At 35.9% G+C, this 17,024-nt stretch overlaps 1 protein-coding gene and 1 long non-coding RNA gene across 5 annotated transcripts in view; one reads left to right on the forward strand and one right to left on the reverse strand.

Moving 5' to 3' along the window:
* Positions 1-17,024, forward strand: part of CAVIN2-AS1 (CAVIN2 and TMEFF2 antisense RNA 1) — a 217,342-nt gene that overhangs the window by 102,336 nt on the left and 97,982 nt on the right. The window lies entirely within an intron of this gene.
* TMEFF2 (transmembrane protein with EGF like and two follistatin like domains 2) overlaps positions 223-17,024 on the reverse strand; it is a 245,888-nt gene continuing 229,086 nt past the window's right edge. For 2 of the 4 annotated variants that reach the window (XM_011510890.4, NM_016192.4), the window contains 3 exons: positions 7,432-7,555; positions 4,856-5,014; positions 223-1,584 (listed from right to left, as the gene is read on the reverse strand). In XM_011510890.4, coding sequence (XP_011509192.1) covers positions 1,488-1,584; positions 4,856-5,014; positions 7,432-7,555 — 380 coding nt within the window. In that variant the 3' untranslated portion in view covers positions 223-1,487. Of the gene's footprint in view, positions 1,642-4,855; positions 5,015-7,431; positions 7,556-17,024 lie in introns of all 4 variants that reach the window. The other 2 variants (XM_017003739.3, NM_001305134.2) reach the window with 1 other exon arrangement.

Here is a 17,024-nt window from a genome sequence, read left to right on the forward strand (position 1 = left end):
GTGCCAATAGAGTCACACTTTTCACAGTGATGACTAATCTAGAAAACCAGGTTTTTCAGAGTCCTAAATCCTACTTAGATTGTCACCTTTATTTATGTTTTAACGAGTATTTTAAACAAACATCATTTCAGAAAATAAATTTTCACTGAATATTTTATATTCAGAATATGTTGATTTGATATTTGGAGTGTCCTTTTTTTTTTAAAGTCCACGCACAGGTTATTTGAAGGAGACAAAGAGAGCTTTATTTAAATTTACTGTGTTAGCCATGGAAAGCTTTGCAGAGCTAAATGATAATAATTGATTTATTTTCATCTTATTCCTTGAGAATTTTCACAGCTTATTTTTTCCAGATCAAGTTGTGATACCTATTTGTATGCACAAATCAAACAAAAATCCATACCAACTTCCCAGTGAGGTCTTTCAGATGCTATAGGATTAATTTTCTTTCTTACCTCACCACATAAATATGCTCAAAACATCTCTCTGTTTTCATGAAATATCGTCATCATCATCTTAGTTCCATTACAAATTATGGTGCTGCATTAGCCACAAAGCTATTCATGGGGTATTGGTTGTGATTCTAACTTCTTTTCAAAGAACTATATACTATACATATTGTATGGTGCTTTTGAGAATTCACGATTTTGGTGTTTCACATCTAGTGGTGTTATTACATTTTTCCCCTGGTAATTCCACCCACCTAAATGGAATATATTTTGCCACTCTGTGTATACCTAGTATGTAACTTGTTCAGTAAGTTCAGATATATGCACTTAACTGGGGGATTCTAAGCTACTTCCCCAATAAAAACCAATATTTTCTTTCCCTCTCCTTTATGAGTTATAAAACACTTTCCCTCCCCTTCTTCTTTTATTTAGTTTATATGCCAGAGATTTTTCTGCTCTAGGGATGAAAATGGAAGACCAGGGAAGAAAGTTGATGAAATAGAGATGATTCAAAGATCGGAAATATTTTATCCTCACTCGATATAAAGTAAATTATTTTTTCTCTTTTCCAATAACCATCATTTCCCTTGATCTTGGAATCATTCAAAACCTAGCCACTGAGTCCTGTACGAACTAATGTGCTGTCTCAAGATGAGAAGAAACATGAAATATTGGTAGCTGTACAGATTGTACTAGTCTGATTATATTTACAGTTATGAGATACCGCAAATTTAAGAATGCCAATTTTTTCTCATCACTGAGTATTTATTATATATAACAAATACATGGGAAAGAAAAAACTATATTGTGTGATATAAATAGTTTATTTACATTACAGAAAAAACATCAAGACAATGTATACTATTTCAAATATATCCATACATAATCAAATATAGCTGTAGTACATGTTTTCATTGGTGTAGATTACCACAAATGCAAGGCAACATGTGTAGATCTCTTGTCTTATTCTTTTGTCTATAATACTGTATTGTGTAGTCCAAGCTCTCGGTAGTCCAGCCACTGTGAAACATGCTCCCTTTAGATTAACCTCGTGGACGCTCTTGTTGTATTGTCTGAACTGTAGTGCCCTGTATTTTGCTTCTGTCTGTGAATTCTGTTGCTTCTGGGGCATTTCCTGGAAGGTTGGAAAGTTTACAAATCTCAGTCCAATGCTATTACCTAAAGTTTGGCCCTACAATCACAGAATAAAGATGTGGATTAAGCAAATTATTAAAATATTTCAGATGAAAGAATTTATCATTAGTAGAAGCTTGGATTATTTTGGAAAAGTTATTATTTTGCTTTTCTGTGCAGTTGTCTTTAAATTTTTGTTGGGAATTGAACACAGGCAGAAGTTGAAGAGGAAGACATTTACTTTGTCCTTAACTGCTTACTCATTAAGGCACAAAGAATGACTCAGCACAATGCAATCAAGCAAGTCATGGGCCCATTTTATCTCACTTTAAAGGTCTTCAACAATTTTATATTTCAAATGTCCTAAGAATGAATGTTATATTGACTTTTCAATGTTATGAGTTTAAATCCTATCAAACCAGAGAATGAACCAACTGTTAATATCTGATATGTAATGGAAAGGAATATTGTTTTGGACCAGCCTAATATCATTTTTGTACATTACTAGTATAAATTAGGGACATAAATTGGTACCAGTTATTTAGCATCTATAAAAATCTAATATTCAGTCAAATTATCTGAAAATGTCTGACTTTTTTCTCTTGTAACAAAAAATGCTTTGACTATGCAAATGAGAATAGTGGAAAGTTCATATAAAATTCTATTATAATAATCTGTGAAGTATCAGAATATATAAAAATATATGAATATACATACACATATATATCACGTGTGTATATGTGGGTTTATGTGTATGTATGTGTGTGTGTGTATGTATGTGTATATAAATATATATATGTATAGTTTTAGAGGGAGGATAGATCTGTTAAAGAGAACATGGAGCTGAAATCACATTCCCAGCAAATGGCAGCTAGAGATAAAAAGATCAAAAATCCAACTTCTCAACAGGGCAACTCTTCATTTTGAAACATGTCTCCAAATGTCCATACTTTTTGTGACACATGTGGTGTTTAGGAGGAGGGCAGGTGTTTGGCTAAAATAGTGATGCAAAAGAGAAAAGATTTTTTTAAAAAAAGAAAGTAGAAAGAAGGAGAAGAGATAGAAGAGAGATGTAGAAGACAGGAGAGACCAGATGAGGAAGACGAAAAATCAAAGGAAATGGGAGGACTTCTGCTTGTTGCAATTTTGTAAATCTTTTAGCAAGACCTATTTTGAAATAGGTCTTGACAGACAAATGTGGCCAGGTCATCAGGAAAGTAGGGTTTCTGGGGTTTGGAGACAGACAGCCTAGTTGGAAAGTCTGGTTTCAGAGCAGAATGTTTTCAGGTGAGTGAAATGAATCCACACTGGGAATTGGTGTGCTTTATTGACTAGTATGAATCCTGGAAAGGCTCTAGAAGGTTTGGTGGTCTTAAGGCAGATTTGTAAAAGGCATTACAAAATACTAATACAGTTTATGTGCTATGCCTTCCCCTCAAAAGCCAATAAATTGAGGACAGGTTTTATTTTATTATAACATGGAAAATGAGTAAGTCTATGTGCCTTGGAAAAATAGCTTACTCTAATTTGGAGCTCAGTTTAGATAATCTTGAGCAGCAGAATACACAAAATCCTTCCCAGACACAGTGCAGTATGAGCATGGTGAAGTGTCCAGGCTCTGGCACTAGGCCACCTGGACACCATTGCTGCCCTTGTTGCTCAGCTGTGTGAAGTCAGCAATTTGCCAACTTCTACCTCAGGGTCTCTATCTTGAAAGTGGAGATAATTGTTTCTTCTTTGTAATGTTATTAAATGTGCATATATATGTGTGTATATGTGTATACACATATACGATACACACACATAATATGTGCTTACACAATTCCTAGTGAGGAAAGGACCCTGTATATTTCTGTTGCTTTTATTATGTATGGGAATGCAACTGTGATTCATAACAGAATTGAAAACATGAGCTAAAGTATTTACAGTTTTGCATTTGTGTCAGTAGTCGAAGTAGCAATCAAATTGTTGAGATTATATCCATTAAATATAGGTTTTGTTTTTCATGTACTGATATTGGCTAGATATTAGAGTAATATGGCATAGTTTCCTATGTTTTAGATTCTTTTCTTTTTCTTTTTATATGCAGTATTTTTGGTTTCTTGTAATCCTTATGTTCCCCAGAATCTATTTTAATATAATCACTTGGCATCTAAACGTGAGAGTCGAGTTGATGAACTCAACTCGGCTTAGAGCAGCCCAAAGCTTTAGTCAATGACCTGCCCTTAAGCCTTGAGGCCAGGCGAGGATTTATGAACCATATTTTGTCTTTTTCAAGAGCAAATGCCACACTTGTCCTCAAAGAAGATTGTGCAATACCATACTGAAATGCATTATGACCCTTATTTTCTAAAGATACGATACTTTCTTTTATTTTTGTATCTGTTCAAAACAATTTTTAGAGAAACATTCTGATTTACTGGAGAGCTGCACAAATGAAGAAAGTCTAAACGCCTTGTGAATTTGGTGAAAATCTTAAAAACTTCCTTGGAACTTTTTATAGAAGAGTGAAATCAAGTCAGTAAGGACTATCTTCAATGACTTTTCTGGTTACACAGAACATAAATGATACGCATTTTGCTTAAAGTCCAATTCTTGGTTGGTTTGCATTTGGCTTGAAGTCCAATTCTTGGTTACCACTGGTTTGCATGCAAATGAAATTAAGCAAGTACTGGCCTCATTCCTTTACTCCAAGCCCAACGTCAGACATTGCTAATTAATCATGGTTTTCTTTTCTGTTGAAACTAAAGGAAACCCCTGTGTCTTTTAACCTGATTCTCCAGGAAACAATTACCTTTTGATTAGGCTGGGAATTTGATATAAAAGGTTGTTGTGATATTTGCTGCATGTTTTTCTGTATCTAAGGTTTTCATTTACCATAAAAGTACAACTACTTGTATTTTTGCATTTTGTGACTGAAAACTATTTTGTCATCCTAAGATAAAAATGTGTTTGTTATTATACCAAGATATGTTAAAACTGATTCAGATACATAAGGATACTAATCCAGGTAGATAAGGATACTAGTTCAAGCAGGTAAAAAAAACAATCTTTATCATCAGGCAAAATTAAGGAAAATAATTTGTACCACCCCAATATGCTATTGTACCACTCCATTGGCTATTCAAATACTCTTATGCTAAGGACATAGGACTCATAGAGAATGGATGGCTGCAGAGTCCATGAAGGAACTCACCTCGGAGGGATCTGATTAAATAAAAGAGTAACAATATATCCCTTTATTTGGGTAGCCACCAAGTGCTGTTACTGACCTTGTGATGCAGAGGACCACCACACAGATGACAGCAATCTGAATTGTTCCAATCACAGCTGCGATTAAGACATACTGAAATCGTACAGGACCGGGAACAACGTATAGAACACTGTAGTCCTTTTTTTCACAGTGTTGTCCAGTATAACCAGCATCACACCTGGAAGAAATTATAGTGCCCAGTTACCTGTAGGGTGCTGCATTCATTTTTTTTTTTTTTTTTTTTTTTTGAGACGGAGTCTCGCTCTGTCGCCCAGGCTGGAGTGCAGTGGCGCATCTCGGCTCACTGCAAGTTCCGCCTCCGGGTTCACGCCATTCTCCTGCCTCAGCCTCCCGAGTAGCTGGGACTACAGGCGCCCGCCACTATGCCCGGCTAATTTTTTGTATTTTTAGTAGAGACCGGGTTTCACCCTGTTAGCCAGGATGGTCTCGATTTCCTGACCTCGTGATCCGCCCACCTCAGCCTCCCAAAGTGCTGGGATTACAGGCGTGAGCCACCGCGCCCGGCCTGCATTCATTTTTATAGTTGATTGATGGGCATTTATTTTCATCACAAAATTAGGGCTTTTTGTGTCCCTTTCTAAATAAATATTACTTTGTGGCTATGGCTCTCAACTACTTATTTTCAACAAGATGTCTTTGTGTTTCTCGGTTATCAGATATGTGGTTTCCTTTTACATTTATGATAATAATTTCAAAGGTAGGAGGATTACTAGATAATTTGTTTTTGGTGACAATATAGAGAGATAATACATGTCCAGGAATGACTGTTATTTCTATATTTTCTGGAAGGTGAGCTTTACATTTTATTTAATTTGCTCTTTAATCAACCTAAGTCAACATGTTTACTTGAAAAAATATGTGTTTCTGATGACATGGGTACAAAAATTAGTCTGTTTTGGATGAAACATTCTCTATGCCATTGTCAGAATAAATGTTGAGAAATATTAGGATCAGAGTTACAGGATGAGTCATTAATTTTCTGGTCAAAAAAATCATCTGCTGATGATAGAGTCAAATTTTGTTAGAAAAAAGTAAGTATGACGTAGGCAACATAGTTCTGCAAAACAAGACGAGGTATTGTTCATCTGAGAATGAATGTTGCCTCCTCTCACTCAACCCTCATGGAAAGCTCAGGTAGACAATCTACATAGGAAAATTAGCATGTGTCAATGAAATGAGAAAATAGCTCATAAGAAAACAATACTTAAAGAGGATCAACATATCATTGATTTTGTGGAACTATTCTATTACTTCACTTTGAATTTCTCATAACTACATCCTGAGAAATTTTTTCTCTCCATCAGGAAGGGTTTAATAATAATGACACTGCTGGGGAGTGAGGGGGTAGCAAGAGTAACTTCTCAGTTTTGTTCACTCTGCCTTACTTCAGTTGAAGGCCTGTGCTAGTATATTTTGTGGAGGGAAAACATGAAAGGAAGACAGCTCTAGGTGGGGGGCGGGGAGGGGGGAGGGAGGAAGAGTGGGAGAGAGAGGGAGAGAGAGAGAGAGAGAGAAATCTTCTGTTGTAAATGAAAATACAATCTATTTCATCATATGTCACTTGTACTTAATGTAAATAAAAATAAAAATAAATTATGTTTTCATTTTGGCTTTGCCATCTCTGAAATAATTATATTTTAGACATACAGTAGGTATTTAAATACATATATATTAATATATATATAAGAGGCGGGGTCTTGCTCAGTTGCCCAGGCTGGAGTGTAGTGGTGTGACCATAGCTCACTGCAGGCTTGAACTCCTGGGCTCAAGGGATCATCCCATCTCAGCTCTCAAGTAGCTCCTGGACTACAGGTTGCATGCCACCGTGCCTGGCTAATTCTTAATTTTTTTTTTTTTTTTTTTTTTTTAGAGATAGGATCTCCCTTTGTTGCCCAGGCTGGCTTCAAGTGATCCTCTCACCTTGGCTTCCCAAAATGCGGGATTACAGGTGTGAGCCATCATGCCTGGCCAGTATTTATATTTATAAACTAAATCCAGATAAACAACTTCTTTGTGTCTCTACTGAGTTTGAAACTGGGGGGGTATGGCTAATGATTTCACTTTGCACGGCTCCATGGGAGAGCAGATCTATAGAAAATAGTGAATGCCTGGCAAAACAAGGATTGATGATATTTATGAGAAGACCTGAAGGACTTAGGAAAAGATGAACTCTGAGAAGCAACTATGCAATCTAATATACATAAGGCTTCATCCATTCATTTGTCTGATAAATACTTATTGAGCAACTATTCTGTGTTCAGGAGAAAGAGTGGTAATATGGAGGAACTTGTACCTTTAAGGAGCTTATAATGCACAAAGTACAATTTCAAATTCTAGAACAGTTCAGTAATGTGTTATATAGTACTTGAGTGTGTAAGGTGCACATATTTTTGTTTTTTTTTAGTGTGTGAGTATGTGTGTATGTGTGTATGCATGCACAGGAGGAGCAGAGAAAAGTTTTGTTGCTGATTACCCATTCAAGAAGAATGTCTACCAATTTTCTATAAACATCTACAATTTAGTTTCTACATATTAACTTTATACATTAACTATTCTTGCGAGTAAAAATGTTACCTGCAAGATGGCTCCTGCATATTGATAGAATGCTCACACTTCCCATGCATGCAGAAGCCATTGTAATGTTCCGGACAAGGTATGTGGTGTTCTCTGGCACTTTCTTCTAATTTGTTAGCATTCTCTGTGAATACAGATAAAAGTAAGCACCCCCTGTAAATACTTAGCCTGGTAAGATCAACCAGTACATTAAGAAGCAAAGCTATGGTAGGCAAAGATATTTAAAAGGGCAAGAACTAAAGGGCTATGCTTCAGAAATAAGAGGAAGAAAGAACTGAAAGACGTCTTTACAATTGTGTTTAGAGATGAAATTTGCAAAATTACCCAGTGCTTTTTATGCTTTCATGCAATTTCCTACATCTTTAACAGCTAGTGGTGTTTCTAGGACTTGTCAGACAGCTTTAATTTTCCTCACATAGGGACCGTACATTGATCATGAAATACTCCAAGAAGAAATATCCTATTTTTTAAATTTCAAAGCCCAGCATAATGTCCTTAAGAGTAAATTGCTGTAATACCTTGATACTTTCGCAATACGAAAGCTTAAAAGTTAAAATATGGCCGTGTTCAATTGTTAAACACACATTTTCCAAACCGAATGCAAATTTCAACAAATGTATTCTTTCAGGCTTTTAAAATCTACTGCAAACATGATTTTCACTAGCATCCACACATTTTTTTGTTGCCACAATAAACCTATTAAATAAGAAAACGTTATTTCAAAATCACTTATGTAGATATTCACATAGTATACACTGAATACTGTAAGTGTATTTAAATGCATATTTGGCCTGTATTAACAATGCTATGTGAAACCTAAACTTACGATAACGAATAAACGTGGATTCTAAAGTGAACACTTTTGCCTGCCATTACAACATGTTCTACTTGTTTTGCCATGTTTTCATAGATATTTGAAATTTTTTGACCTTTGTTAGTCCAAAAACGTTTGCTTCATATTTGTAATGCCATATTTAAGTGTCTTTTGAGTCTTAATATGTTCATTTTATGATAAAACTTTTGAGTTTTCCCTAAATCTGAAATATGATATTCTTGAAAATTTCTGCCCAAACACATGAGAAATATAGCTTTTATGAACTCAATCTGAAGACACTCTTCAATCTGAAGGTACTCTTCAACACCCTAGTAATTAGTCAGCAGTAATGGAAAATGGCAAATGAATTCCTATTTTTATGAAATGGTTTATTTCCATATAAGGGTATAGGTTTTATTATTAGCAGTCACGGATGATAAGCATATTCATTGGAAGAAAAAAACATGCCTCTGGTATTAGCGAATCAGACAAATCTATTATTTATGATTAAACAGAGCTGCAAAATATCTATACATCTTTAAGATCCAGATGCCATCTGCAAAACAAAGTCTGAAAAAAGTTGTAAAAGATGTATAGTGCTTTCTTGTGTAGAGATATTTATATGCATCATTATGATGGGCAATATTTTATGTTACACACCCAAATTTGTAAGGGATTTACCATCAAGATACTAGAGAGCCTGTAGATGACATTTAAATCATTAGTTTGTTTCTTATCTGTGTCTCTTTAGCTAGGATGGTTGGTGATTTTTTTGTTTGAATTACAGTATTTGCACATCGATAGCAGCTATTTAACTGAACATACCACTTCCATGGAGAAAACTAAGAATGTATAGAACTTTTTTGGTTTCTTCCCTCTTCTTTGAAGTTACTTTGGAATTTTGTGGTATAATGTTTTTGGTAGCAAGTGCAGCTGCAGTAAGCAAATACACCAAAATTAAAGTGGGTAGTGTTGGGTGAAATTTCCCACATGGGAACGTGTGACCAAAATGGAAGCGGGGCAGTTCATGAACCCATGGAGGAGGCTGTGTTCATTCTGTGCCAGGGCCGGGGGCTACACACTATAGCGATCAAACCATGCACCTGCTGTTTAAAGGAGACTTTAGCAGTGGGGTTTGCCAGTCACACTGCTGGTGTAATGAACCAGCTCTGATTTTCACTTTTATTTCTGGACCTTCTTCCCATAACAAACTATTCGACACTTCTATGGTTCATTAATAACCCCTCAGTGCTTCTGAACACCTGCATGCAGGGAAATTTTCTGTGACTTCCCTAAATTTCAGTTATACACTGTCTTTTCAGATATAGTATTTTCCAAACACATCTTATTAGGACTATTTTTCTTTCTGTCAGTTACAAAAGAATGTCAAGAATTTTTTAAAGTGAAAATCCGGTTTTTAGTCTATTTTATTTTTAACACTGTACCTCACCCCATACTGACAGTTTGTTTCTGGATTCGTGCCATATTCACAATTATGAACTGAAGTATAAGGGAAAAATAAGAGCTTGTCTGAATGAGGCTGCTGCCTTAGTGTGGTAAGAGATGGATATTTTCACAAAGTTCATTATCCAGCCAGGGTGATCACATGGGTAGGGAATAGTTTCCATTGTAAAATCTGCTAATTAGTTTACACTATTCCTTATGAGCTTGGAGTGCTCTGTTATGCTGCTCATAGGATACTGTCAAATAAGAAAGCAGAGAGATTGAAAATAAATTAGTAGAAGAAATGATCTCTGGGCAAGAAAATGAGGAATCATCAATATATGTCAACAAATTTATAGTCAATCCAACCAAGTAAATCAGTTGATTGAAAACCTGAATATATAACCACTGCTAGTAATGCAATAGACATATTTTAGAAACAAGATTTTAGTATATTAAGAGTAGAAACACAGAAATCTAATATCCAAACAAACATGTATATGAACCATAGTGTTTGTGATCTTAATGTTTATGTATAGTAGGTATTAAGCAATAACAAAGCATTAAAACATTTTAAATTATATAAAAATTATATATTTCTGGAAGTCTGCATGTTTCCTTCAGTAGCTTATGATTTAGACATTGATTTCTCTGTCCTCCATTTAAAAAGAGGTTTAATGTAAGGGTTGTGCTCTTTCTTCTAAAATAGATAAAAGGCTATGGTAGAAACTCTTCATGTCTGTGTTTAAAATCCTCAACTAGTTTCCTGTTTAAATGTTTACAAATGGTTTGTTCTAGAGAGTTCCTGACCCTTTGAAAAAACAATTCTGATACAATCTGAGTTATCTGCAGCAGAGCTAATAGGGCTCCATGCCCATTGCTAGTCAACACTTCAGTCAAGAGCTATTGAAGTGGGCTGTTCTATAGTACAGCTACTCATATTGTTTCTACCCTGGTGCTTGCAGGGAAAGAAACAGGGAAAGCTAAAGAGACAGAGAATGGCAAATGGTGAGGCCTTACCTTACTGCAAGTCAAGTAAGGTTAAGTGGGTAGAAAGGGGGCAAAGCCAGATTTAGCAGTTCAGACTTAAATCAATACAGTCCAGTATGTACATGTGTGTGTATGTGTTTACCATTGCCCCTGTATTCCTTTCCCTAAAAAGTTGAAAATAAGATGTTGTTTAGATAATTAATCTATCAAAGGAACACATTATGGATCAAAGCAGAAATATTACAGTGTAAAATTTGACTAAATCTATCCATATTTCTAAAAAAGAGAATGTTTTCCTTTGGACAAAGATTAAAGGTTGGCCAAAGAAGTCCTGAAAGTTAAGTTGTATTATCTATCCAAGTGCTCTCCAAGCTGGTGTGTCTTTGTTTTTTAGTTTGAGAGTCTTACTCTATTACCCAGGATGGAATGCAGTGGCGTGATTTTGGCTCACTACCACCTCCACCTCCTGGGCTCAAGTGATTCTCGTGTCTCTGCCTCCCTCTTAGGTGGGACTATAGGCATGTGGGACTAGCTAACTTTTTGTATTTTTTAGCAGAGATGGGGGTTTTCCATGTTGGCCAGGCTGGTCTTGAACTCCTGGCCTCAAGTGATCCACCTGCCTCAGCCTCCCAAAGTGCTGGGATTACAGTCGTGAGTCACTACACCCAGCCCAAGTTGGTGTGTCTTAAAAAACCAGCCTGAACTAGCCAACCCAGAGTCCCAGGTGCAGAGATAGATGCACCAGGTTATTAGTTTCTGATGCTATTAAATATTTATTCAGTTAACCCATTTCTCTTGTTCTGATGCTCTGTTGTCTAGTCATTCTTAAAATAATTCGACTTCTATGTAGCCTTCACATTGGAATGGCTTTGACAAAACAACATGAATATCTTACCCATTTAACAGTTAACATATTTCATTTCAGAGAATTGACTAGTTCTGAATTTCTGTTTATTTTTTGAGGGGGTCACATGTCATCTTCATCCCACTCAATTCTGAAGTTTTTTAAGGTCAAACTTGTGCTGTATAGACCAGAGAACTAGACCCTACCCGTTGTTCACTACAGTCTGCGAGGCCTTTGGGGGCTGGTCAAATGATATTTCTCTGGTAATGCCCCACTTTAATCAGGACTTTATTGCAAATGTATACAAATTCTTAGGCCATTGATTCATACAGAAGAGTCTGATTCTGTGTAAGCGTTTCTGAGAAAATTGAAAAGATCCTAAACTAGAGGAAACATCAGGAATTTAGTGGATGTTTTAGGTGGGCAGATCTCCACTGCATATTTTTAAACAACTAGAGCTGTTCAGTAGGAGAATGAGTGAGTTCCATTGTAAAATAGTGGGCTTCTGGTGGTATTGAAAGGAGCTGTGTGGCCATTTCTCAGGGATGTTGTAGACTGTTAATGTATATCGGTTAGATTACTTCAGAGCTCTAAGTTCATTGAATTCTGAAAGTAACATTTATTTCTATTGCTAATATTTACTTATGATTAATCATGAATATTTACTAACATTTACTAGAGAATATTATTTTTGATACGCTAGGAGAAAGACGTAGAGAAATAGAGATATTATTTATATATATTAAACAAAATAAATTACTTTTGCCTTAATTATGGGACATGCTACCTTTTGAAAGGGTATAAAATATCTTAAATTTTGACTGTGTCTATAATTCAGACATTCTAGCAGAGAGGACCTTTACTATGTAATGTATTGCCTTTCTTTTGTTTAGTGGACCTAAGTTCAATTTTTAAAATCATGCTTTAACATCCCATATGATCTTGACACGCACATGCGAGTATTACAGTTTGGTTTATTATCTTTTCAACTATCTTTTGCTGTTGGTCCACAAAATGTGTCATACTTCTATAGAAAAACAAAAATTTTCAGTTTTGAATGTGTTTATGTAATCTTGCTATTTTTTACATGTAATGACAGTAGAGGGAAACTCCAGTATTGAAATATTCATATTCTTACACACCTTTTGTAATTACTTAATTTTACCCTCCCCGACTTACTGCCATTTCTCCAAAGCAAAATGAAACTACTTTTATTTAACTAGAAAAGGAAAAAACTGTTCTGTTCTCCTTATATTTACATTGTGCCTGGGACAGAAATAAATTATAAATACAGAAATAAAGTCATGATTGTTCCCATTGTTGGTTAGAGTTGGTTTCAAAGAAGATATACAGTTCTTATGATTTCCTCTCCTTATCTTATCAGGTATAAACATATGAGGCAGTAAAACCTCATATCTAGCTTGAGTTGCAATCCAAGTTTTTTAAAGACTAGAAAAGCATTCCTATTGAATGGGTTCTGAATGTAATGAAGTCTGAGTTCCTGCAACTTAACAGATTCCACAATAACCTCACCTGCTGTCATAGCTTCTGCAAGGCATATACGAGTAGATGAGAAGAGTCTCTCCTTTTTAAAGCTTCTGGGACACAGACTCAAATAAAAATGCTAGTTAAAAGTGACAGCCTAGCATGAGGGACACAGAGAATTTAAGGATACAATCAATTCTCAAGTTTTGTAAAGAGCAGAGACCCAGTCATAACATTCTTGTTATTTAATCTCTGTTAAAGACTTAGAAAATAACACTTCAAAACAGAGACCAAGTCCTTCAACATTCTTGCTACAAATTTAACATTTCTTCTGCAAGTTGAACATTATTCTATTTTTTTCAGAAAAATAATTGAAACTACTTGGATCAGAAACTTTGCTAGTGAGGCAGTGGTATGGGTTGGGAACAGGATGGATGCAAACAAACAGAAATTCCTCTTCATTCCACCATTGATAGGCACTAATATAAAATGTGAAATGTGATTATCCTTATCGTTGCTTGCATATGCTATAAATATTCTTATTGAACATAAAATTAAAATAAAGTGTAAGAAAACTAATTTCCATGTTACTGGATTATCAGGCAAGGCCTTGATGACATGATTCAGGGATTGCTAGAATTTAAATTGGAAAAAGTACCAGCATCTGAAATATACATAGTAATTTGGGGACTGGAGTAATTGAAATGCAACAATAGTGGATGATTATTTGCATGGGCTTTTATTAACTCAGTTTCTATTTGTAATATATTTACATAGATAAATACTGAAAAATCTGTAAAATCTTGGGAGAAAAACTTGTATGCAACATTTTCACTTGACATCCAAATACAATTATAATCCAATAATTTGGCATAACAAGGCTCATGTAGATTTAGTTAGAAATCCTGGACCTCAAAAAATTTTATTATTAATTGCAAAATAAGTAGCTCCTTAGCTGTTTGCTCTGTTTTTTGACTCGGCAATGCCCTGCCTGGCTTTCGATGGCAGAGCCCTCAGAAGAGTGAAGAGAGCAGGCCGCTGGGAGAAGTTGTGTTCTGTCTCTAATGGTCCTTTTCAAACTTCACCACTCAGTCCAGAGCCTATTAACTCTCAGCAAGTGGGTAACTCCTATCAGTTTACAGGTCTTGGTTTGAAGACCTTTTAAAAATACAGTATTTAATGGAACTTTAGAAGTCTTTGACAACATTTCTGTAAGTATCAGGCCTTGGGAAGAGGTAGGAATCTATGGTTCATTAGCCTCTTGGGAGTCCAGAGCTGGAGTTGCCTTAAGCTTATCTGGGGCAATTTGTTGCAGCTCTCCCCATTGAGTTTTCCCCTCAGCATCTCCTTGCTTTCAAGCTGCTCTCAGGAGACAAAGTTTGCTATAAACTTTAGAGAAAGAAAATGCCATGGGAAGCCATTTTATGCTAAGAATATATTTATTCTCTTCCTTTTTGTCTTGAACTAAATCTATGCATTTTTGGCCAAAATTATTTGCTTGTGGTTAATCCAGGCATCCTTTCTTAGTGAGCTTCATTGGTGACAATGCTGAAAATGACACTAAGTAACAGAAGAAAGAAGCAACGGGTCAGGTCCCATCTACTCTAGTCTTCTGGGCCATGTGAGCCAAGCAGTTTTCTTCTTTGTAGGCTGCGTGTGCAGAAATGGATAGTCAAGACAAACCTCCTCAGGTGATGTAACCGTTTTCTTCTGTGACCCTGAAGTGACTAACTGGCAGAGAGTGAAGAGGATTGAGGCTAGAGCATTTACTGGAATATAGTGAAAGCAAAGGTCTGAATAACACAGATAGAACACCAAAGCTGTCTTTCAGTAATTTATTATATGAATATTTCTTGAGTAGCTATTATGTGTCTGGCACTATGCTATGTGTTGTGTATCCATACGCTAAAGCTATTGGTTGTCGCTCAGTGATTTTGCTTATTATCTTCTAAAGACAATCAAGAAAACTGATTCTTAAGACAAGATGATAGTAATTATGTCTTAAATTACTTGAGAATCTTACAACAGGACCATCATTGTGTTAATACTTAACATGGTCAAAATGTATTCCTTAGTATAGCCTTTCAAGGTAGATTTATAAAATTTCCATTTTTTTATAGATTAGGAAAATGAAATTAAAGTAGGTTAAATTACTTGTCTTAGTAATTTACACAACTTGTAAACAGAATTGCTGTCGAAGTCAGGGCTCTTTCCAGTGTGATATGTACAGTATGATAGTTAGGAACTTATAAAAATACACGACAACATCTGGCCTTCATATCTTATTTATCATTTGTGTTTGATGACTCCTGACTCTTTATCCCACCTAGATTCTATTGCTACTCTAAAAAACAATTTCCTTCCTTTCTCTTTCTTTCTCTCTTTCTGTCTGTCTTTCTTTCCTTCCTTCCTTCCTTCCTTCCTTCCTCCTTTCTTTTCTTTTTTCTTTTCCTTTTCCTTCTTTCCTTCTTTCCTTCTTTCTTTCCTTCCTTCCTTTCTTTCCTTCTTTCTTTCTTTCTTTCTTTCTTTCTTTCTTTCTTTCTCTTTCTTTCTTTCTTTCTTTCTTTCTCTTTCTTTCTTTCTTTCTTTCTTTCTTTCTTTCTTTCTGCCTTTTAACCCATGTACCTTGTCTAGGGCCAATCCCTCATGAATCTCAACCCCTCCATCATCCTCAAGGGCTCTCCGTCAATTATCTCCCTTTGTTCTTGTATCTTCAACTCTTCCTCACTCTTTGCTCATTTCCATCAGCATTTCAACACACTCAAGTGTCTTCCTTCTTAAAATAAAAATGAAAAAGGCCCTCTCAATCCATGTCCCTTGGTAGACCTCGTTTCCTTTATTCCATTTACAGTGAAACTTACAAGTGTTGTCTCTGCTCCTTTTCTTCACTTCTGCACTCACCTCTCCTCATTCTTGCAGCTCTCTGGTCACCCCTTCAGAGAAACTATTATGACCAATGTTACCAACAACACTGTTGTTAAAACTAGTAGTCTCTTCTCAGGCCTCAGCCATCACAATCTCTCAGTAATATTCACTACAGCTGACCACATCCTCCTTTTTGAAGCCCTCTCTTCCCTGGGTTTCCATGATACCACCCAGTTCTTGTTCTTTTTGGTTGGTCCTTCATAGTCTACTGTGTAGGCTCCCATTTTCCAACTGATTCCTTAAATGTTGATACTTCCCTAAGGTTCTTCTCTTGTTGCAGTTTAAACATTTTCCCTGAGAGAGCTCATCATCACCCAAGGCCTTTATTTGTCATTTTACTGCCTCTGACTTCCAAATATTGATTAGTCAGCCCAGATCAACTTTTTATAGGTGATGAGGTGATCACACTTTTATGGAGTTTCATATCTATATATCAACATTCCTAGGGTCTCCCAGGTACCTCAAACTCATCAGATCCTTCTCCCACTTCCTTCCCCTGCTTCTTATCCCAGGCATATTTATCTACTCATTGACCAAACAGGAAATCTGGGTTTCACTTTTAAATTCTAACTGAGTAAATCACCAAGATTTCTACTTCTTAAGTATCTCCCAAATTTGTCTATTTCTCTACATTTCTACTGCTACTCACTAAAGTCAGACCATATGTCAGCAAATCACCATGCCTCCAATTTTGCCCTCTCGAAATATGTTTTCCACCTAGGCCAGAGTGATCTTTCTAGAAGAGAAAACGTGAGTACATTTTGATCGCCCTTAAAACTTCCCAAAGAAATAATTCTCAAGTTATTCCTCACTGTTCCTTTAATGAGCCAAATGCTAACAGTACTCAGAAGGCAATTCAGAATCTAGTCCCAGCTTCTCCATTCTCACCTTTTGCAATTCTTCTGCATCTTCTTACATTCATCATATGAAATTTTTCTCTCCCCTCTGGGACTTCCCATATGCTATTCCCTTTGCCTGGAATGCTCACTTTCCTTCCTTTTCGTTTACCAAAGTCCTGCTCATCACTTAGGTCTCATCCTTGGCATTATTTCCTCTAAGAAACTTCTGCAATGTTCTCTTCTGTCTCCTCAG

Source organism: Homo sapiens, chromosome 2 (genome assembly GCF_000001405.40).
Source record: "Homo sapiens chromosome 2, GRCh38.p14 Primary Assembly".
Lineage (NCBI taxonomy): Eukaryota > Metazoa > Chordata > Mammalia > Primates > Hominidae > Homo > Homo sapiens.